The 21211-nt window shown below is 44.7% G+C and overlaps 1 protein-coding gene and 1 long non-coding RNA gene across 7 annotated transcripts in view, besides 2 other annotated features; both read left to right on the plus strand.

Moving 5' to 3' along the window:
- CHP1 (calcineurin like EF-hand protein 1) overlaps positions 1–5133 on the plus strand; it is a 50620-nt gene extending 45487 nt beyond the window's left edge. For all 3 annotated transcript variants that reach the window (NM_007236.5, XM_047432125.1, XM_047432124.1), the window contains 2 exons: positions 2013–2135; positions 2582–5133. In NM_007236.5, coding sequence (NP_009167.1) covers positions 2013–2135; positions 2582–2635 — 177 coding nt within the window. In that variant the 3' untranslated portion in view covers positions 2636–5133. The remainder of the gene's footprint in view (positions 1–2012; positions 2136–2581) is intronic.
- An 809-nt stretch (positions 5134–5942) lies between these two features.
- Positions 5943–21211, plus strand: part of OIP5-AS1 (OIP5 antisense RNA 1) — a 30642-nt gene continuing 15373 nt past the window's right edge. For 2 of the 4 annotated variants that reach the window (NR_152821.1, NR_152820.1), the window contains exons 1-2: positions 5943–5964; positions 9257–9346. This is a non-coding gene — a long non-coding RNA (OIP5 antisense RNA 1). Of the gene's footprint in view, positions 5965–7235; positions 7357–8470; positions 8610–9256; positions 9347–20992; positions 21176–21211 lie in introns of those variants that run through there. The other 2 variants (NR_152822.1, NR_026757.2) reach the window with 2 other exon arrangements.
- Positions 6131–6872: an enhancer, noted in NCBI's record as "H3K27ac hESC enhancer chr15:41575083-41575824 (GRCh37/hg19 assembly coordinates)". NCBI's record gives its function as "activates a minimal SCP1, AML or CMV promoter by ChIP-STARR-seq in primed H9 embryonic stem cells {active_cell/tissue: H9 hESC(primed)}" and the evidence as "EXISTENCE:reporter gene assay evidence [ECO:0000049][PMID:30033119]".
- Positions 8357–9096: an enhancer, noted in NCBI's record as "NANOG-H3K27ac hESC enhancer chr15:41577309-41578048 (GRCh37/hg19 assembly coordinates)". NCBI's record gives its function as "activates a minimal SCP1, AML or CMV promoter by ChIP-STARR-seq in naive and primed H9 embryonic stem cells {active_cell/tissue: H9 hESC(naive and primed)}" and the evidence as "EXISTENCE:reporter gene assay evidence [ECO:0000049][PMID:30033119]".

Raw genomic sequence — 21211 nt, forward strand, 5'->3', positions numbered from 1 at the left:
CGACATTTTGGGTGGGATTTCAGAAAGCCCCACCAAACTGATTTAAATCAATAAGGAACTAGTTAGGCTCACGCAACAAGAATGTTTGGCATAGATTGTCCAGGCTGGTACAGTACCTAACTGATGTCCAGGAACCAGGCTTATTCTGTGTTCCTGCCCTGGCATCCATAGCTCATATTACTCACCTCATGGCTCCAGGGTGGCTGCAGTGCCACCAGACAGAATGAGGTAAGAAGAATGAGGAAGGGCAAAATGCAAAGGACTCTCCCTTAGTCTTTGTCTTCTTATCCAGTCACCTAGATAAGTTCTGCTTACATCATTGCCTAGATGAGAAGATAAAGGTTTCAGCCTTTTAGCTGTTACTTAGTCACATGATGGTAAAGATGGGGATACATTCTGAGATATGCAATGTTAGGCAATTTTGTAGTTGTAGGAACATCATAGAATGTACCTACATGAACCTAGATGGTATAGCCTACTACACACCTAGGCTATGTGGTGTGGCCTATTGTTCCTAGACTACAAACCCGTGCAGCAAGTTACTGTTCTGACTACTATATGCAGTTGTAACATAATGGTAAGTATTTGTGTATCTAAACATATCTGTGGCTGGGCATGGTGGCTCACGCCTATAATCTCGGCACTTTGGGAGGTGGCAGAGGGAGAATTGCTTGAGCCCAGGAGTTGAAGGCCTGCCTGGGCAACACAGTGAGACCTCATTCCTACAAAAAAATTTTGAAAAATTAGCCAAGTGGCTGGGCGCAGTGGCTCACACTTGTAATCTCAGCACTTTGGGAGGCGGAGGCGGGCAGATCATGAGGTCAGGAGTTCGAGACCAGCCTGGCCAACATGGCGAAACCCCATCTCTACTAAAAATACAAAAATTAGCTGGGTGTGGTGTCACATCCCTGTAATCCCAGCTACTCGGGAGGCCGAGGCAGGGGAATCGCTTGAACTGGGGAGGCAGAGGTTGCAGTGAGCCGAGATCGTGCCATTGCACTCCAGCCTGGGCAACAAGAGTGAAACTCCGCCTCAGGAAAAAAAAAAAAAAAAGGCATGGTTGCACACACCTGTAGTGTAGTACCAGTTCCTTGGGGGAGGCTGAGGTGAGAGGATCACTTGAGCTTCGGAGGTGAGGCTGCAGTGAGCCACATTCGCAACCCAGCACTCCAGCTTGGGCAACAGAGCGAGACCCTGTCTCAAAAAAAAAACCCAAAAACAAATACTTACATCTAAACATGGAAAAGGTACAGTAAAAATATGGTATTGTAATCTTTTTTAACAAATTTTTTGGCCGGGCGCAGTGGCTCATGCCTGTAATCCCAGCACTTTGGGAGGCCGAGGTGAGCGGATCACGAGGTCAGGAGATCGAGACCATCCTGTCTAACATGCTGAAACCCCATCTCTACTAAAAATACAAAAAATTAGCCTAGCCGGGCACGGTGGCAGGCGCCTGTAATCCTAGCTACGCAGGAGGCTGAGGCAGGAGAACGGCGTGAACCCGGGAGGCAGAGCTTGCAGTGAGCTGAGATCGTGCCACTGCCCTCCAGCCTGGGCAACAGAGTGAGACTCCGTCTCAAAAAAAAAAAAAAAAAAGGAAAAAAAATTTAACTTTTAGGTTCAGGGCTACATATGCAGGTTAGTTATGTAGGTAAACTCTTGTCATGGGGGTTTGATGTACAGATTATTTCGCCACCCATGTACTAAGCCTAGTACCCAGTAGTTATTTTTTCTGTTTCTCTCTCACCTCCTACTCCACCCTCTGGTAGGCCCCAGTGTCTGTGGTTCCCCTTTTTGTGTCTATGTGTTCTCATCAAAATACAGTATTATAATCTTATAGCACCACCATTATATATGCAGTCGGTCATTAACCAAAACATTATTATGCAGTGCATGACTGTATTTGAGGGCATCAAAGGAAAAGGAGGATGGTGATAGCTTTATTTTTAATCTTAGTAAAGAGTCCCTCTGATTCCCAAGGCCCTTGTAATTCCTGGCTCTTGGTCTTCCAGGTGCTACGCATGATGGTCGGAGTAAATATCTCAGATGAGCAGCTGGGCAGCATCGCAGACAGGACCATTCAGGAGGCTGATCAGGATGGGGACAGTGCCATATCTTTCACAGAATTTGTTAAGGTTGGTCACTTACTTCTTGTTTGAAAAAGTTACGTTTTAGTGGCTGGGCGCGGTGGCTTACGCCTGTAATCCCAGCACTTTAGGAGGCCAAGGTGGGCGGATCACGAGGTCAGGAGTTCAAGACCAGCCTGGCTAACATGGTGAAACCTCATCTGTACTAAAAATACAAAAATTAGCCAGGCGTGGTGGCGCGTGCCTGTAATCCCAGCTACTTGGGAGGCTGAGGCAGGAGAATCGCTTGAACCCAGGAGGCCAAGGTTGCAGTGAGCCGAGACCACACCACTGCACTCCAGCCTGGCAACAGAGTGAGACTCTGCCTCCAAAAAAAAAAAAAAAAGTTACGTTTTACTGCACAGGAGGAAGGGGGGAAAACATTACTCAGATAAGAGCTTGGGAGTGTTGTAATCTTCATAACCTTTGTAACTGTTACTGGTTTTCTCCCCCAGGTTTTGGAGAAGGTGGATGTAGAACAGAAAATGAGCATCCGATTTCTTCACTAAAGGAGACCAAACTGTTCCTTGCGGTCTAGTATTTAAGAACTGGAACTTGAAAGTCCTCCTTCTACCAACTCCACCTCCACCCCCTCATTCCCCTTCTCCCAAAGTACTACTGCTGTTGCATGACAACCCCAAATATGTTCTGTCAACACAAACCTGCCTTTGGTGTATAAACAGGGCATTACAGAATGGTACACCCTATATATTTCTGTTCAGTATCCATTCACTAGTTCTTCATTTATAAATATCATCTTCCCCATTCTGCTGCTGAATGCCACACATCCATCCAGTCTGAGAAAGTGAGAGAGGCAATCATGCCAAGAACAAGCCAGCAAAGCTCTTTCACCAGATGTAGACTGTAGCCCTGCTGCCTTCCCTCCAGCGAGTCTGCCAGCATGCTTCTTCATCCTTTTTATATGTTCTTTGCTTCCTACTTCCCTGTCTTCCAACATACTGTTCACTTACTCTGGCAGTCTTTCTGCTTTTCATTAAGCCTCAAAATCTCCTCTGTTCTACTTGGCACCACAAGCTATGTCCTATATATGTATTTCTGACTTGGCAGGATAGTTCAGGGGTCTGGCAGTTTTTATTTACCTTCATTATTAAATGGGCCTCTGGGATGTTGCCTCTTCAGGAGCTTTTTGGTAATCAATACTTCTCTCAGAAGTATGAGACCATCCTCTGCACTCTGCTCTGTCATCAAAGGCTGCTGGGTGGAGATACCCTTTTTGAAAGGTGGCCTTGGTGAGAGGTATGGAGCCAAGTCTTCTAGGTTGCTTGCCCACATCACTCTATCTCTGGCCTCTGATTCTCAACTTTGTACCTGTGTGGCTCCTCTTGTTAGTGCAATGTTGACTGTTGAAAAAGCAGCAGTATGCTTACAGGTTTGCTTAGTTTGGGGACACCGTTACCACCAGAATGGCTGCTCTGACAATATGCCTAGGGACTTTCTCATGGCTTTTATTTAATAAGGAGGCTGGGCACCCTATAAAGCCTCATGCATTCACACCTTTGCAGCATGGTTTATGCCTCAGTGTTATGTGCACTGGAATGTTTTCCACTTCACATTTCCAAGTAGAAATATTAGTGTTACGGAAGTGCCTAATATCCCAGTCCAAATTTTTTTTTTTTTTTTTTTTTTTTTTTGAGACAGAGTCTTGCTCTGTCACCCAGGCTGGAGTGCAGTGGTGCGATCGCTCACTGCAACCTCAGCCTCCTGGATTTAAGTGATTCTCCTGCCTCAGCCTCCCAAGTAGCTGGGATTACAGGTGTGCACCACCATGCCCGGCTAATTTTTTGTATTTTTAGTGGAGACAGGGTTTCACCATGTTGGCCAGGCTGGTCTCGAACTCCTGACCTCGTGATCCGCCTGCCTCAGCCTCCCAAAGTGCTGGGATTACAGGTGTGAGCCACCACGCCTGGCCCCAGTCCAAAATATTTAAAGATTGTTTCCTTAGTGTCTTGAAGTTTTGCACAAAATTCTTTTTTTTGAGATGGAGTCTCACTCTGTCACCCAGGCTGGAGTGCAGTGGCGTGATCTTGGCTCACTGCAACCTCTGCCTCCTGGGTTCAAGCAATTCTCCCACCTCAGCCTCCCAAGTAGCTGGGATTACAGACGTGTGCCACCATACCTGGGTAATTTTTGCATTTTTAGTGGAGAGGGAGTTTCACCATGTTGGCCAGGTTGGTCTTGAACTCCTGACCTCAGGTGATCCTCCTGCCTCGGCCTCCCAAAGTGCTGGGATTACAGGCATGAGCCACCGTGCTCAGCCGCAAAATTCTTTATGAATTTTACACTTGGCAAATGTTAATGACGGAAGCCATAGTCTGCTCCTAATACATGTCCAAAGCATTGACTGTTGTGTCATTAGCTGCCTGGTTACATTAGCTCCCTGGCTTCTTGTTTAGACCACTGCTAATCCCTTAAAAACAAGAGGTCTGGCACTAGTAGCACAACCTAAGGTGGCATTACAGATCTTTGAGCGAGCCACAGCAACTTTTCTGCCAAGTCAGCTTAGTTTAGACTTCAGTGAATCAGGCTATTGCTATCCTAATGTATGTCTCTATGAGTGTATTTAGCCACACATCTGCCCTTGGTTGACTTTCTGACTCATTGCTTGCTTGCTTGTTTCCTTGCTTTGGAAAACTATTGAAGATTGCTAAAAAATACCACTGCAAAGTGATGGAAAAGGGTGGAGAACAGGGGAGTAGCCAGGCTGGATGGCTCAAATATAAATGAATGAGGAATTCTTTATGAAGTATCAGTCAGATTTTATGATTAAGTGATGTAATATAGGAATTATGTAAAAGGGAAGAATGTCTGATACTGATCTATTAGAGAGGTACTTTAGAGGCTTCTTGATTGGCATAAAGTTCCTAAGGTTATAGATTTTCCCCCCTTTTGGCTGTATAGCAAAGTGTTTTAATCCACGGTTGTGCCTTATTGTTCCATTAAAATTGTATCTTCGATCCATCAATAAATACTTGTGGTTGAAACAAAATAACTTTTGTCCATTTTACAAGAATTTTATGTAACTTAGTCCCTTCAAGTTTGAAATCACAGTGTCTCCCTTACTCAAGTTTATGTCTGTACGGTCAGCTGCAGTCTACTCTGCTGCTGCCTGGATATATGAAGTGGAAACATTCATCGAGGGGCCAGCACTTTTGGCTTCGACATGGTTTTGTCAGCCGTGGCCACTTCCCATTCATTCCAGCTAAGACGCAATTTCTATTCTTGACTCCCTGACTCCTTAAATGTAGAAAAAGCCTAAAAATCCAGTATATGTCCATTCCTTAAATTGCCCACCTCCTCATTCATGTGCAGCCTCAGCGGTGACATACTCTGGTTTTACATGGCTTTTTCTTTGCATTTCTTTTTTGAGATGGAGTCTCACTCTTGCCCAGGCTGGAGTGTAATGGCACAGTCTTGGCTCACTGCAACCTCCGCCTCCCAGGTTCAAGCAATTCTCCTGCCTCAGCCTCCTGAGTAGCTGGGATTACAGGCACGTGCCACCACACCTGGCTAATTTTTGTATTTTTGGTAGAGATTGGGGTTTCACCATGTTGGCCAGGCTGGTCTTGAACTCCTGACCTCAGCTGATCCACCCGCCTCAGCCTCCCAAAGTGCTGGGATTACAGCCACCGTGCCAGGCCAGGAATCTGCATTTCTAAGAATCCACCCAGATGACAGCCCTCTTGGTGTTTGGCAAGCACAGTGGACCTACACTGCCTACGCTGGGCCTCGCTTGTCATAACCCCGAAGAGGAGCCACCCCACGTATACCCTCCCTGCTGTCACGTGTCCGTGTGAAGAGACCACCAAACAGGCTTTGTGTGAACAACAAGCCTGTTTATTTCACCTGGGTGCAGGTGGGATGAGTCGGAAAAGAGAGTTCAGCAAAGGGTGGTGGATTATCATTAGTTCTTACAGGTTTTGGGATAGGCGGTGGAGTTAGGAGCAATGTTTTGTGGGCAGGGGGTGGATCTCACAAAGTACATTCTCAAGGGTGGGGAGAATTACAAAGAACCTTCTTAAGGGTGGGGAGATTACAAAGTACATTGATCAGTTAGGGTGGGGCAGAAACAAATCACAATGGTGAATGTCATCAGTTAAGGCTATTTTCACTTCTTTGTGGATCTTCAGTTGCTTCAGGCCATCTGGATGTATACGTGCAGGTCACAGGGGATATGATGGCTTAGCTTGGGCTCAGAGGCCTGACACCTGCCCCTCTGGGAAATGATGCAGAAGAAAGGATGCCCTACAGTTGGGTGTAGCAAACAACAAAACTGCCAGTTACAGCAGGTTTCCTCTATGCAGGAGGGCCTTCAGAAAAGTGACGAATCCTTCTCTCCTGTATTGACCAAAGCTGTAAACAGCCGGACAACGTTTGGGCCCTTTAAGAGTCAAAGACAGAGACAAACTGGAAGCATTAAATTTTTTCCCTAGGTGTTGTGCTACCCCTGGATTAAAAGCCTGGGCGCGGTGGCTCATGCCTGTAATCCCAGCACTTCGGGAGACCGAGGCGGGTGGATCACCTGAGGTCAGGAGTTCGACACCAGTCTGGCCAACGTAGTGAAATCTCGTCTCTACTAAAAATACAAAAATTAGCTGGGTGTGGTGGCATGCGCCTGTAGTCCCAGCTACTTGAGGGGCTGAGGCAGGAGAATCGTTTAAACCCGGGAGGCGGAGGTTGCAGTGAGTCAAGATCGCGCCACTGCACTCCAGCTTGGGCGACAGTGAGAGACTCTGTCTCAAAAAACAAAACAAAACAAAAACCCTCGGGCCTGAGAATGAAATTATTAGTACTACAGTTTAACCTAACAGTGGCTTAAAATAGTCACGCGGCCTAGCCACACTATCTTACCACGTGGTACAGCTTCTACGGCGGAAATTTTACATTCTTAATAATTGAATTACAAAAGCATTTCTCCCTGTTACCTCAATTCTGGGACCCAATCCGGATCGAAAGAGTGGGGCGAGTGCTATTGATTGACGTGCATTCCAACCAACCTACGACGCAAGGAGAGCGCGCGCGAGCAAGACGATGCCCAATAAACACTCAGCCCCAGCGGCGGGGGCGGGGCTTGTGGGAACGGCCCACCGCAGGGTTGGCCACCTTGAGAAGCTGCGAAGATGGCGGAGTAAGGCGTGCCGCTGCAAACTGGCCTCTGGGCCGGGGGCGAGCAGCCCCCGGGAGGCCGAGTGCATCTGTTGGACCGTGCGAGGTGAGCCGAGAAGGCCAGTGACGGTGGGACGAGCAGGCGCCGAGGAGGTGGCGTGGCCCAGACGGGCCGGGTACGGAAGCGCGCAGGAACCTGCGAGTTGCGGGCAGCCGGCCTCGGCCTCGGCTGGGCGGGGGTTCCAACCTCGGCGGCTCCAGGGCAGCCGTCACCCGCCTTCTGGGTGTGTTGCACGGCCCACCCCTCAGCCCGTCTCGGTCCTTCCCAGTGCCGTGCCTTTAGCCACCTTTGTGCTTTCTGCTTGCACCCACACGGGGCTGTATCTGGCAGCCGCTGCTTCTGCCATCGATTTATTTTTCGAAGAATATCTTTGTTTTATTGATTTACTTATACCCCTCGCCTTAGGACTTCGTTCCCCCTCTTTGCCCGTCAGCGGTATCAGTTGAGGCCTGTTGTGGCTCTGAGTATTTTGTGTCCCCAGCCCGTTGACCTTGAGACTTGTAACAGGTTTCCCTTGGGAATTGCATTCGGGTGTGTTTATCGCGGACACCCTGGTGCAACTTTTACTAAAGCCGTCCGCTCCCACTCCCACCTCCCAAACTTTTATGATCTGAGTAAGCGGTTCTGGCACTGATGTCCTGATAACGTTCTAATGGCGCATTAATTTTGGCTGATGCCAGGGTCTTGATAGAATTCACCGTTTTTGGTTTCCGACCCAGAAGTACAGGAGTTCAGTGTACAATATTGTTTTTATAGAGACAGAATGATAGGGAAATGTTATTAGAACGTAGTTTGTGTAAAGTGGTGGGGTTGCACAGTGTCAACACTGAGGCATTTGGTATTCTGTTCTCCTTTAACCGAACGGGTTGTCTCTTTTGGTAATTTGGATTGTTGTAACCTTACCCTCATCCGGTCTCTCAGGTAAGATTCTAGGAAAGTTCCTGTTACTAGGTTTCTGAATTGGTGTGGCCTGTTTAAAACTGGCACATTAGTTAAGTTCCAACGGACACACCATTAGACAAATGAATGTTTTTGGGTATGCTCTTTGTTGGCCCTGGATTTGCTAGAGCTGAAAAATAATACAGAAGGACTTTTATATGAGACCTTTTTTGTCGCTCTGTCAGTTTATTTTTTGTTTTTTTGTCTTTGTCTCATCCAGGAGAAGAAAAAAAATATCGGCCAGAGGAGAGGAACTAACCGAACATTCTTCCTCCCTACCTTATAGAGGGGAGTGGTCATCTACACTAAAGCAAAGTGTTAGGCGCGTCCGTGCGAAGAGACCACCAAACAGGCTTTGTGTGAGTAATAAAGCTATTTATTTCACCTGGGTGCAGGCGGGCTGAGTCCAAAAAGGAGTCAGCAAAGGGAGTTAGGGGTGGGCAGTTTTATAGGATTTGGGTAGGTAGTGGAAAATTACAGTCAAAGGGGGTTGTGTTCTTGCGGGCAGGGGTGGGGGTCACAAGGTGCTCAGTGGGGGTGCTTCTGAGCCAGGAGATGGAATTTCACAAGGTAATGTCATCAGTCAAGGCAGGAACTGGCCATTTTCACTTCTTTTGTGATTCTTCTGTTGCTTCAGACCATCTGGATATATACGTGCAGGCTTGGGCTCAGAGGCCTGACACAAAGGTCTTAAGTAGGGGTCCATAAACTACTGGAAATTTTATGCACAATTATACATTTTTGTGGGAAGAAGAAGGTCCATAGTATCAGATTCTCAAAGAGGACACTGTTTCATAAAAGCTTGAGAACCACTGCTCCAAGACTTGACATCTTTTTAAAATTAATGCCAGTGCAGGTAGAGAGTAACTGCTTTCTTACTGTTCCTTTTGAATAGTTTATGATATTGATTTTTTTTTAACAATAGCTTGTCTGTTTGAGTAATATTGTATACTAAAATTACTAGCACCAGTGAGGGCCATATCCTTAATGTTCTTTTTCTTTTTAGGTTCCTTATCACAGGAAGAAAATTTTCCTTGACCTTTAGGTGCTTTTATATTCATCTCAAAAACAAAATTCTGAACTCAGGACTTGGCAAGTAAGTAATTGTGGGCTAATCGTTCCAAATACTGTTTAAGTAGCTTGAAAACAGGTACATAGAAGTGGAACAATAAGCCGTTAGCTTCAGCAGAAGACGAACATGAAAAATGACTGTAAGCTATTGAAATTTAAGTTAAATCTTTTATTTTTCAACAAAAGAAATGTATTAAATAAAAAGGAGTAATCTTGATCATTTGCTCAAACTACCAATAATTTTCACTGTCTAAAGAAAACAGACACATATTTAATTAGATTGAAGGAAATCAAATGATTAAAAAATAGGCCTGGCCCGGTGGCTCACGCCTGTAATCCCAGCAGTTTGGGAGGCCGAGGTGGGCAGATACTTGAGGTCAGGAGTTTGAGACCAGCCTGGGCAACATGGGGGAACCCTATCTCTACAAAAAATACAAAAATTAAGCAGGTGTGGTGGCACGCGCCTGTAATCCCAGCTACTTGGGAGACTGAGGCAGGAGAATTGCTTGAACTTGGGAGGCGGAGGCTGCAGCGAGCCGAGATTGCGCCACTGCGCTCCATCCTGGGCCACAGAGACAGACTCCATCTCACCCAAAAATAACGATTAAAAAAAAATGTTACTGGGTGGTTTTATTTAAATAAATTTTGTGTATATTTCAGGTATACAACATGATGTTTTGGGATGCATATAGATAGTAAAAAGGTTTCTACAGTGAAGTAAATTAACATCCATTGTCTCACATAGCTATTTTGTTTTTGTGGCAACAGCTAAAATCTCATTTAGCATGGATCCTGTTTACAGTATAATTTTATTACCTATAGTTGTCATGTTGTACATTAGATCGTTAGACTTGTTCAGCCTACGTACCTGTTCCTTTATATTCTCTGACCTATATCTCTTCCTTTACTAACTCCCACATCACTGTTTTGTTCTCTAACTCTGTATATTTGATTTTTTAAAAAAATTTCACATGTAAATGAGATTGTGCAATGTTTTTCTTTCAGTCCTCCTGACTCATCTATGCTGTGACAAATGGCAAAATATTTTGTTTTTTTTTTTTTTTGAGACAGTCTTGCTGTCTTAGCACTTGCTCTGTCACTGCACTCAGGCTGGAGTGCAGTGGTGCTATCTCAGCTCACTGCAACCTCTGCCTCCCTAATTCAAGCGATTCTTTTGCCTCTGCCTCCCAAGTAGCCAGGATTACAGGTGTGCGCCACCACGCCTGGTTAATTTTTATATTTTTTTAGTAGAGACAGGATTTCACCATTTTGGCCAGGCTGGTCTCAAACTCTTGACTTAATCCCAAAGTGCTGGGATTACAGGCATATGCCACTGCGCCTGGCCAAGATCTCATTCTTTTTTAGGGCTGAGTAACATATGCCATCATATATATGCACTGTAGTTTCTACAGTTTATCCATTCATCCATTGATGATGGACAGTTAGGTTTTTTCTGTATCTTGGCTATTGTGAATAATGTTCCACTGAACATAGGAGTGCAGACATCTTTATGAAGTGATTTCATGTTTTTTGGTTATATGCCCAGAAGAGGGAGTGCTGGGTTATGTGGTGGTTCCATTTTTAATTTCTTTAGAAACCTCCCAGCTGGGCGCGGTGGCTCATGCCTGTAATCCTGGCTACTCAGGAGGCTGTGGCAGGAGTATCGCTTGAACCTGGGAGGCGGAGGTTGCCATGAGCCAAGATCGCGCCACTGCACTCCAGCCTGGGCTACAGAGTGAGATTCCGTCTCAAAAAAAAATTTCCATACTGTTTTTCCATAGTGGCTGTTCTGATCTACACTCCCGCGAACAGTTAATAATAATTCATTCTTCTCTTAAACGAGGCAAATTTTGGAATATATTTATTTAATTTTTTTTTTGAGACAGAGTTTTGCTCTTGTCGCCCAGGCTGAAGTGCAATGGCGCAATCTCAGCTCACTGCAACCTCCGCCTCCCGGGTTCAAGCGATTCTCCTGCCTCAGCCTCCTGAGTAGCTGACATTATAGGCACCTGCCACCACGCCCAGCTAATTTTTGTATTTTTAGTAGAGATGGGGTTTCACCATATTGGGCAGGCTCGTCTTGAACTCCTGACCTCGTGATCCGCCCACCTTAGCCTCCCAAAATGCTGAGATTGGAGGTGTGAGCCACCGCGCCTGGCCAGTGTGTCCTTTCTTAATTGACAGTGACATTATATCTGCAAAATAGGCTTCATACCTACTGTGTTAGTTTTAGTTTCCTAGGCCTGCTGTAACAAAGCACCACAAATTGGGTAGCTTAGAATAACAGAAATTGTTTGATAGTTATAAATAAAGGTCAGATGTCTAAAACCAAAGTGTTGGCAGGGCCGTCCCTCTGAAGGCACTGAAAAAAAAATTTCCAGTCCTTCTAATTTCTTGTGGTTCCTTAACTTGTGGCAGCATAACTCCAGTCTTCACATGAAGTTCTTCCTGTGTGTGTATCTGAGTCCTAATATAAGGAGACTAGTCATATTGGATTGGGGTCCATCCTGCTCTGTTAATGACCTCATCTTAGCTGCTGACATCTGTAATGACTCTATTACCAAATAAGGTCACAGTATGAGGTAGTAGGGGCTAGGACTTTTAACATACGAATATTGGGAGGACACAGTTCAACCCATTAACACCTACTTATACCTTGATTAATTATATGAAAACCATTCAGTGTACAACTGCTTCAAGGATTGAAACCTTGTATGTAGTCCCAGCTACTCTGGAAACTGAGGTAGTAGGATTGCTTGAGGCCTGAAGTTCAAGGCTGCAGTATGCTGATTGTGCCTGTGAATAGCCACTGCACCCCAGCTTGGGCAGCATCAGAATTATAGAGACAGAAAGTAGAATGATGGTTGCCAGGGGTTGCAGGAAGGGCAGCGAGAGGGAATTACTGTGTAATGTGTACAAGGTTTCAGTTTGGGAAGAAGAAATGAGTCCTGGAGATGGATTACGGTGATGGTTGCACAGCAGTATGAATGTACTTAATACTACTGAATTGTATACTCGAAAGGGTTAATATGGTGAATTTTATGTGTATTTTATCACAATAAAAACATTGAAAAATAAAACAATCTTTGTATGTATATGTATATATGTGTGTGTATATATGATATATATGATTGATATATATATATCAGTAGTAAGAAAGGGAATAAAAACTGATGAGGCAAAATGCCCTTTAGAGTGAAGAAGGCCTTACCACTTGGATTTACAACTTTAAGTCCAAGTAGACAATAATAGAAACTTGACATTGGTATAGCACAATATTTATAGTAATCTAAATATCCATCTGTAGGCTGGGTGTGTTAGCTCACACCTGTAATCCCAGCACTTTGGGAAGCCAAGGCGGGTGGGTTCTTTGAGGTCAGGAGTTAGAGATGAGCCTGGCCAACATGGTGAAACTGTGTCTTTACTAAAAATACAAAAATTAGTCGGGCATAGTGGTAAGTGCCTGTAGTCTCAGCTACTCTGGAGGCTGAGGCAGGAGAATTGCTTGAACCTGGGAGATAGAGGTTGCAGTGAGCTGAGATTGCACCACTGCCTGGGCAACAAAGCAACACTGTCTCAGGGGGAAAAAAAAAAAAAATATATATATATATATATATATATATATATATATATATATATATATATATATATGGTGTAGAGAACTGATGTAAATAAAGTACATCAAAGGTAGTACTTTACTTACAGACTGGTACTTTGTCCTGATATGGAATGATCTCTAAGATACATTAACAGAAAAAGCAAGGTACAGAACAATATATAGTGTGCTTTCATTTGTGGGAAATGTCTCTAGAGATGTTTTGTAGCCATAGAATATTCCTAAAAGGATATGCAAGAAACACTGTTTACCCTATTTTACCTTATCTCGTGCATATATTTATTCAAATAAATAATTTAGAATTTTCAAAGAAAGGAAGCACTGAATAAATATTTGATAAATGACAACTTAAATTTTTGCTCAAGCAACAGTTTTACATCGATATAGTATATCCCTATCTAGGGGGCAGAAATTGAGCACCTAGCCCAGCAAGTTTTTTTGTTGTTGTTTGTTTGTTTTGGTTTTTTGCCCTGGCTGGAGTGAAGTGGCACAATCTCAGCTTGCTGCAACTTCCACCCCCCAGGTTCAAGCTATTCTCCTGCCTCAGCCTCTCTTGTACCTGGGATTATAGGTGTCTGCCACCACACCCAGCTAATTTTTGTATTTTTATTAGAGATGGAGTTTTGCCATGTTGGCCAGGCTGGTCTCCAACTCCTGACCTCAGGTGATCCACCCCCCTCAGCCTCCCAAAGTGCTAGGATTACAGGCTTGGGCCACCGCGCCTGGTAAGTTTTTTTTTTTTTTTAATTATTTATTTTTTTGAGACAGAGTCTCACTCTGTTGCCCAGGCTAGAGTACATTGGTGCTTGCTGCAACCTCCGCCTCCGGGGTTCAAGTGATTCTCCTGCTTCATCCTCCTGAGTAGTTAGGATTACAGGCCTGCCACCACGCCCAGCTAGGAAGGTTTTTTTTTTAATATGACACTTATAAACTTAATTTGATTGATAGTGATAATAGTATTCATTGTGTTTTGTGAAATATATTCTAAATTCCCTATTTACATAGTGAAGTAAAAAAGGTGCACTAACTCCCGGGATACATCATTCTCTCTGTCCTTAGAGGAAGCAAAGTATATTAGTTATTGCTGTATAACAAATAACCCAAAACTCAGTAGATTAAAACAACAACAAATATGTATTACGTCTCTCAAGAATTTGGTAATAGCTTAGCTCTGGGGAGGTTCTGGCTTAGGGTCTCTTAAAAGCTTGAAATCTGGCTAGGCACGGTGGCTCATGCCTGTAATCCCAGCACTTTGGGAGGCCAAGGCAGTCGGATCACGAGGTCAGGAGATCGAGACCATCCTGGCTAACACGGTGAAACCCTGTCTCTACTAAAAACACACACAAATTAGTCGGGTGTGGTGTTGGGCACCTGTAATCCCAGCTACTGGGGAGGCTGAGGCAGGAGAATGGCATGAACCTGGGAGGCGGAGCTTGCAGTGAGCAGAGATGGCACGCTACTGTACTCCAGCCTGGGCAACAGAGCAAGACTCCGTCTCAAAAAAAAAAAAGCTTGAAGTCTGATGGAGTTCTGTGGTGACACATTTACATGGCTGGCACATTCATGCTGTTTAGGGGGAAGTTTCATTTCCTCCCAATGTAGGCCTCTTTCAGGGCTGTCTGAGTACTCTTATACGGTGGCTGGCTTCTCCCTAAACAAGCAATCTAAGAGAATAAGGCAAAAGCCATAGTCTACTCTATGACTTTGCCGCAGAAGTCACTCACTGTCACTTCCTCCTTGTTCTGTTGGTCAGTATTCTGACATCAAGTGGTACATGGCAATACATTTCTTTTTTTTTTTTTTTTGACACGTAGTCTCGCTTTGTTCCCCAGGCTGGAGTGCAGTGGCGCAATCTCACTTGCAAGCTCTGCCTCCTGGGTTCACATCATTCTCCTGCCTCACCCTCCCAGGTAGCTGGGACTACAGGCGTCTGCCACCACGCCCAGCTAATTTTTTGTATTTTTAGTAGAGACAGGGTTTCACGGTGTTAGCTGGGATGGTCTCGACCTCCTGACCTCGTGATCTGCCCGTCTTGGCCTCCCAAAGTGCTGGGATTACAGGCATGAGCCACTGAGCCTGGCCATGGCAATACATTTCTGACACCACCCAAGAATTAGCATAGACCTCACAGGTCAAAGGGCATGGTCCTCAACAAGACTGTCCTCACTTCAGATGCCAGCTGTACTTCGGAGGTACCCCCAGCCACCTGCATTTTCGACCAAGTGGCTACAGATTTGGAGAGTCCCATGACCCTCTTAGAACCAGCTTTTGATTTCGTTGGTTTTCTTATTGTTTTTAGTTCCTTTAAAGTTAGGTTGGTTGATTTGAGGTCTTTTTACTTTTTTTTTGAGACGGAGTTTCACTCTGTTGCTCAGGCCAGAGTGCAGTGGCACAATCTCAGATCACTGCAACCTCTGCCTCCCGGGTTCAAGCAATTCTCCTGCCTCAGCCTCCCGAGTAGCTGGAATTACAGGTATGCGCCACCATGCCCAGATAATTTTTGTATTTTTAGTAGAGGTGGGTTTTCCCCATGTTGATCAGGTTGGTCTCAAACTCCTGACTTCAAGTGATCCAATTGCCTTGGCCTCCCAAAGTGCTGGGATTACAGGTGTGAGACACTGTGCCTGGCCAACTTTTTAGAAACAAGGTCTTGCTCTGTTACCCAGGCTGGAGTTCAGTGGCTTTTCTCAGGTGTGATCATGGCACACTGCAGCCTCGCACTCCTGGCCTCAAGTGATTCTCCCACCTTAGCCTCCTGAGCAGCTGGGACTACAGGCATGTGCCACCACTGCTGGCTGAGGTCTATTTTGATGTGAGCATTTACAGCTATAAATTTCCCTCTTAGCATTGCTTTCACCACATCCCATAAGTTTTTGTTAAGTTTTCATTTGTCTCAAGGTACTTTGTAATTTCCTTTTTGATTTATTTTTTGACTCGTTTAGGAGTGTATTATTTAATTTCCACTGGCTTATTTACTCCAAATTCTAAGGATTTAGAGTATCCTTTCCAGGAACAAAGGGCAGTCAAAGTCTTTATTATACAACAGTCACATAGATTAACCCTGATTCATTGTTGGAGGAGACTGTAAAAAGGCCTGAATACCAGGAGGCAGCAATCACTGGTGGCTATTTTGGAGGCTGGATAGCACAGAAAATCATTGGCTCACAAGCTAGCTTACCTAAGGTGTCCACATAAATTTTTTTTTTTTTCTTCTTTTTTTGAGACAGAGTTTCGCTCTTGTTGCCCAGGCTGGAGTGCAATGGCACAATCTTGGCTCACTGCAACCTCCGCCTCCCGGGTTCAAGCGATTCTCCTGCTTCAGCCTCCCGAGTAGCTGGGATTGCAGGCATGCACCACCACGCCCGGCTAATTTTGTATTTTTAGTAGAGATGGGGGTTTCTCCATGTTGGTCAGGCTGGTCTCGAACTCCTGACCTCAGGTGATCCACCCGCCTTGGCCTCCTAAAGTGCTGGGATTACAGGCGTGAGCCACCGTGCCCGGCCTGTTCTCCTTTTCGATCCTCCCAATAAGTCAGGTTTTTTAGTAGAAAGTTACTTTGTATAATCAGCACCAGTAAGCAAGTAAGTAACTTCAGCCACTTGAAAGTACCTAATGTGAGGCCAACTTTAGGGGAAATTTATTTGTAAGTTTTGTGTATCCGTTGTATAGTTGCAGTTGATAAATCCAGAAAACTAGATTTTCAGCAGCTGGTTGTGGTAGCTCACGCCTGTAACCCCACCACTTTGGGAGGCCGAGGTGGGTGAATCACGAGGTCAGGAGTTCGAGACCAGCCTGGTCAACATGGTGAAACCCTATCGCTACTAAAAATACAAAAAAAAGGTCAGGAGTTTGAGACCAGCCTGGTCAACATCCTGAAACCCTATCTCTACTAAAAATACAAAAAAAATTAAAAATAAAAAAAATTAGCATAGTGGCAGGCACCTGTAATCCCAGCTACTCGGGAGGCTGAGGCAGGAGAATCGCTTGAACCTGGGAGGCAGAGGTTGCAGTGAGTCGAGATTGTGCCATTGTACTCTAGCCCAGGCGATAGAGTGAGACTCCATCTCAAAGAAAACTAGGTTTTCTAGATTGTGTCTAATTATATTTTTAGTTCATGTTGGCTAAGCATTTAAGAGCCCTACTATTCATGTATTCAACAGATTTTTTTTATTTTTAATTTTTTTTTTTAAGATAAAGTCTCGCTCTGTCACGCAGGTTGGAATGCAGTGGTGCGATCTCGTCTCACTGCAACGTCTGCCCCTCGGACTCAAGTTGTCCTCCTGCCTTAGCCTCCCAAATAACTGGGACTACAGGCGTATGCCACCATGCCTGGCTAATTTTTGTATTTTTAGTAGAGATGGGGTTTTGCCATGTTGGCCAGACTGGTCTCGAACTCCTGACCTTGGGTGATCCACCCACCTTGGCCTCCCAAAGTGCTAGGATTACAGGGGTGAGCCACGGCACCCAAACTATTCAACAAATTTTCATCAAGTGCTTACCATGGGTCACATGCTATTCTGGGTGCTTGTAATTCATCAGTGAACAAAACAGGATCCTTCCAGTGGATCTTACATTTTAGACAAAACAGTAAGTGAGAAATGAAATAAGTACCTCTTGTAAATTCCTAGATAGTGTCACGTGCTGTGGATAAAGGGAAAAGTAGAGCAGGATAAAGGGCAGTGTTGGGAGAGTATCTGTGTGTAGGATGAGGGGAAGATACAGGTTTATATAGGGGCCCAAGGTAGGCCTCATTGAAGAAATGATATTTAGAGACCTGCAAGGGGACTAGTTACGCAGATACCTGGGGGAAGAGTCTTCCCAGTGTGGGAACAGCCACTACAAAGGCTGTAAGGAGCATGCCTAACGTTTCAGAAAGAGCAGAGTCCATTGTGGTTAGAGCCCATGATCAAGCTATGGTCAGAAGAGATCAGGGTGCAGATCTTAGGAGGAACTGAAGGTCATAAATTTTGGCTTTTACACTAAGCTGCTATTTATTCAGCCATTCTGAGTTTTGTTGTTGTTTGAGACAGGGTCTCACTGTCGCCCAGGCTGGAGTGTAGTGGCACAGTTTCAGCTCACTACAACTTCACCTCCTGGGCTCAAGCGATTCTCCCACTTCAGCCTCCTGGGTAGTCGGGACTACAGGCACATGCCACCGCACTTGCTAATTTTTTCAGTTTTTGTAGAGACAGAATGTCAGTATATTGCCAGGCTAGTCTCGAACTCGTGAGCTCAAGCAGTCTTTCCCCGCCTCAGCCTCCCAAAGTGCTGGGATCATAGGTGTGAGCCACTGTGCCCAGACAGCCATCCTCAAATGGGTTAGTTACATCCTGCCGTTAATGATACATACACATATATACCTGTGTGTAAGAGTGTATAAATTGAATAGTCATGTCTGAGATATGAAATTGGGCATTCTGAAGAGAATATAAGCTTATGATTTGCTAGTGTTATTGCCTAATATTAAGATATAGATTGGGGGACAAAGTTTATATATGTTCAAGGTGTGCTTCCTCCCCCATCCAGACGGCGTCTTGCTCTGTCACCCAAGGTGGAGTGCAGGTGGCCTGATCTCGGCTCACTGCAACCTCCAGCTCCCAGTTTCAAGCAATTCTCATGCCTCAGCCTCCCAAGTAGCTGGGATTACAGGCGCCCGTCACCTCACCTGGCTAATTTTTGTATTTTTAGTAGAGACAGGGGTTTCACCATGTTGGCCAGGTTGGTCTCGAACTCCTGACCTCGTGATCCTCCCAGCTTGGCCGCCCAAAGTGCTGGGATTACAGATGTGAGCCACCGCACCCGGCCAAGGTGTGCATTTTTTTTTACATACACTTTTTTTTTTTTTTTTTTTTGAGACAGAGTCTTGCTCTGTTGCTGGTCTGGAGGGCAATGGCGCTATCTTAGCTTACTGCAACCTCCACCTCCTGGGTTTCAAGTCAGCCTCTGTAATGAAGCAGCCCTGCTGCTCATAGGGTTCTAAAGGTGTACCTGTGGATCTTTACTTTTTCTTCTTCCATGCTGCTTTTGCAACAAGTGCAAATTCTGCACTATTTTTCCTCCTGATTTGATTCTGGATTAATATACGTTTGGCTTTCCTAGGCTTTGAATAAGAACCCTATCTTCAACCAGAAGAGGTTATTTAGGTTCAATTTACAGTTGAGGTATTTTTTAATGTATATGACAGACTGAAAATAGTGGGCTAGAAAGACTAGTTAGCGAATCGCTATTGGCCATTTTTGTAAACTAAAATTATTTAAGCCTTTGACGGGCATCTGTGATGTATTTATTATTGTAGAGCATACATAACAAAACTCTTAAATATTTTACAGTGTACAGTTTATTGGCATTAAGTATATTCCACATTGTTGTATACGCATTACCATTATCTCTAGAATTTTTTCATCATTTCAAACAAACTCAGTACTCATTAATCTCCCCATCTCCGCTCCCACAGCCCTAGTAACCTCTCTACTCTAAATCTCTATGAATTTGACTGTTGTATCTGATGTAAGTGGAATTATACAATATTTGCCCTTTTGTGTCTAACTTCTTTTTGCAAATTTAACAGTTTTTAGATTTAGCAGCAATGAACTTGATGTACTTTTTAAAAAAAATTTTCAGACAGTCTCACTCTTGTTACCCAGGCTGGTGAGCAGTGGCACAATCTTGGCTCACTGCAACCTCCGCCTCCAGGTTCAAGTGATTCTCCTGCCTCAGCCTCCTGAATAGCTGGGATTACAGGCACCCGCCACCATGCCCAGCTAATTTTTTTGTATTTTTAATAGAGATTTTGTATTTTTAACATGTTGGCCATGTTGGTCTTGAACTCCTGACCTCAGGTGATCCACCCGCCTAGGCCTCCCAAACTGCTGAGATTACAGGCGTGAGCCACTGTGCCTGGCCTTGATTTAGTATTTACATGTTTACATTTGGTGATAATGGAACAGTATATATTTTACTTACAGTTATATTTTATAAAATACCGTTTATTGCTGGTAGTTGAAGGTGATTCAGAGTAAGATATATATGGTTTTGAGTATTATATATTTAGATATCAAATTTGGAGTACAGTGCTACTTGTGTTTATTTTTGTTTCTTTTTTCTTTTGATAGGAGGTGCAAGCGAAGATGCAGTGCTACCTTATTTTTCATTTTTATTTTTTGGAGACAGAGTCTCACTCTGTTGCCCAAGCTGAGTGCAGTGGTGCAATCATGGCTCACTGCAACCTCAACCTCCAGGGCTCAAGCGATCCTCCTGCTTCAGCCTCCTCCAAAGTAGCTGGGACCACAAGAGGGCACCACCACGCCCTGCTAATTTTTTATTTTTTGTAGAGTGGGGTCTTGATATGTTGCCCAGGCTGGTCTCCAATTCCTGGGCTCAAGGGATCCCCCTGCCTCAGCCTCCCCAAAGTGCTGGGATTACAGGTGTGAGCTGCTGCACCTGGCTCAGTGCTACTTTAAAACACAAATGTGGCCGGGCCCAGTGGCTCACGCCTGTAATCCCAATACTTTGGGAGGCTGAGGCGAGTGGATCACTTGAGGTGAGGAGTTTGAACCCAGCCTGGCCAACATGGTGAAACCCCGTTTCTACTAAAAATACAAAAATTAGCCGGGTGTGGTGGTACATGCCTGTAATGCCAGCTACTTGGGAGGCTAAGGCAGGAGAATCACTTGAACCCAGGGGGCAGAGGTTGCAATGAGCTGAGATCACAGCACTGCACTCCAGCCTGGGCAGCAGAGTAAGACTTTGTCTCAAAGAAAGAACAAAAACAAACAAAAAAAAATGTTTTATATGCAAAAGTTTTTTGTATCATGCTTGTATAAATCCAGCTTTTTTTGTATCATGCTTGTATTTTTTTTTTCTAGCTGTTATTGCTTTTCTGATAATAGTACTGAATTTGGTGTTATGGTTGGTCATTTTCTTCTAGATAATATGTAATCCAAAATATTCTTTTTTTTGTTTGTTTGTTTGTTTGTTTGAGACGGAGTCACGTTCTGTTGCCTGGGCTGGAGTGCACTGATGCAATCTTGGCTCACTGAAATCTCTGCCTCCCAGGTTCAAGCGATTCTCCTGCCTCGGCTTCCTGAGTAGCTGGGACTACAGGCACCCGTTACCACGCCCAGCTAATTTTTGTATCTTTAGTAGAGACGGGGTTTCACCATGTTGGCCAGGCTGGTCTTGAACTCCGGACCTGGTGATCCACCCACTTCGGCTTCCCGAAGTGCTGGGTTTACAGATGTAAGCCACTGCACCCGGCCTATTCTTTTCTTTACA

This window comes from Homo sapiens, chromosome 15, assembly GCF_000001405.40.
Source record: "Homo sapiens chromosome 15, GRCh38.p14 Primary Assembly".
Classification (NCBI taxonomy): Eukaryota; Metazoa; Chordata; class Mammalia; order Primates; family Hominidae; genus Homo; species Homo sapiens.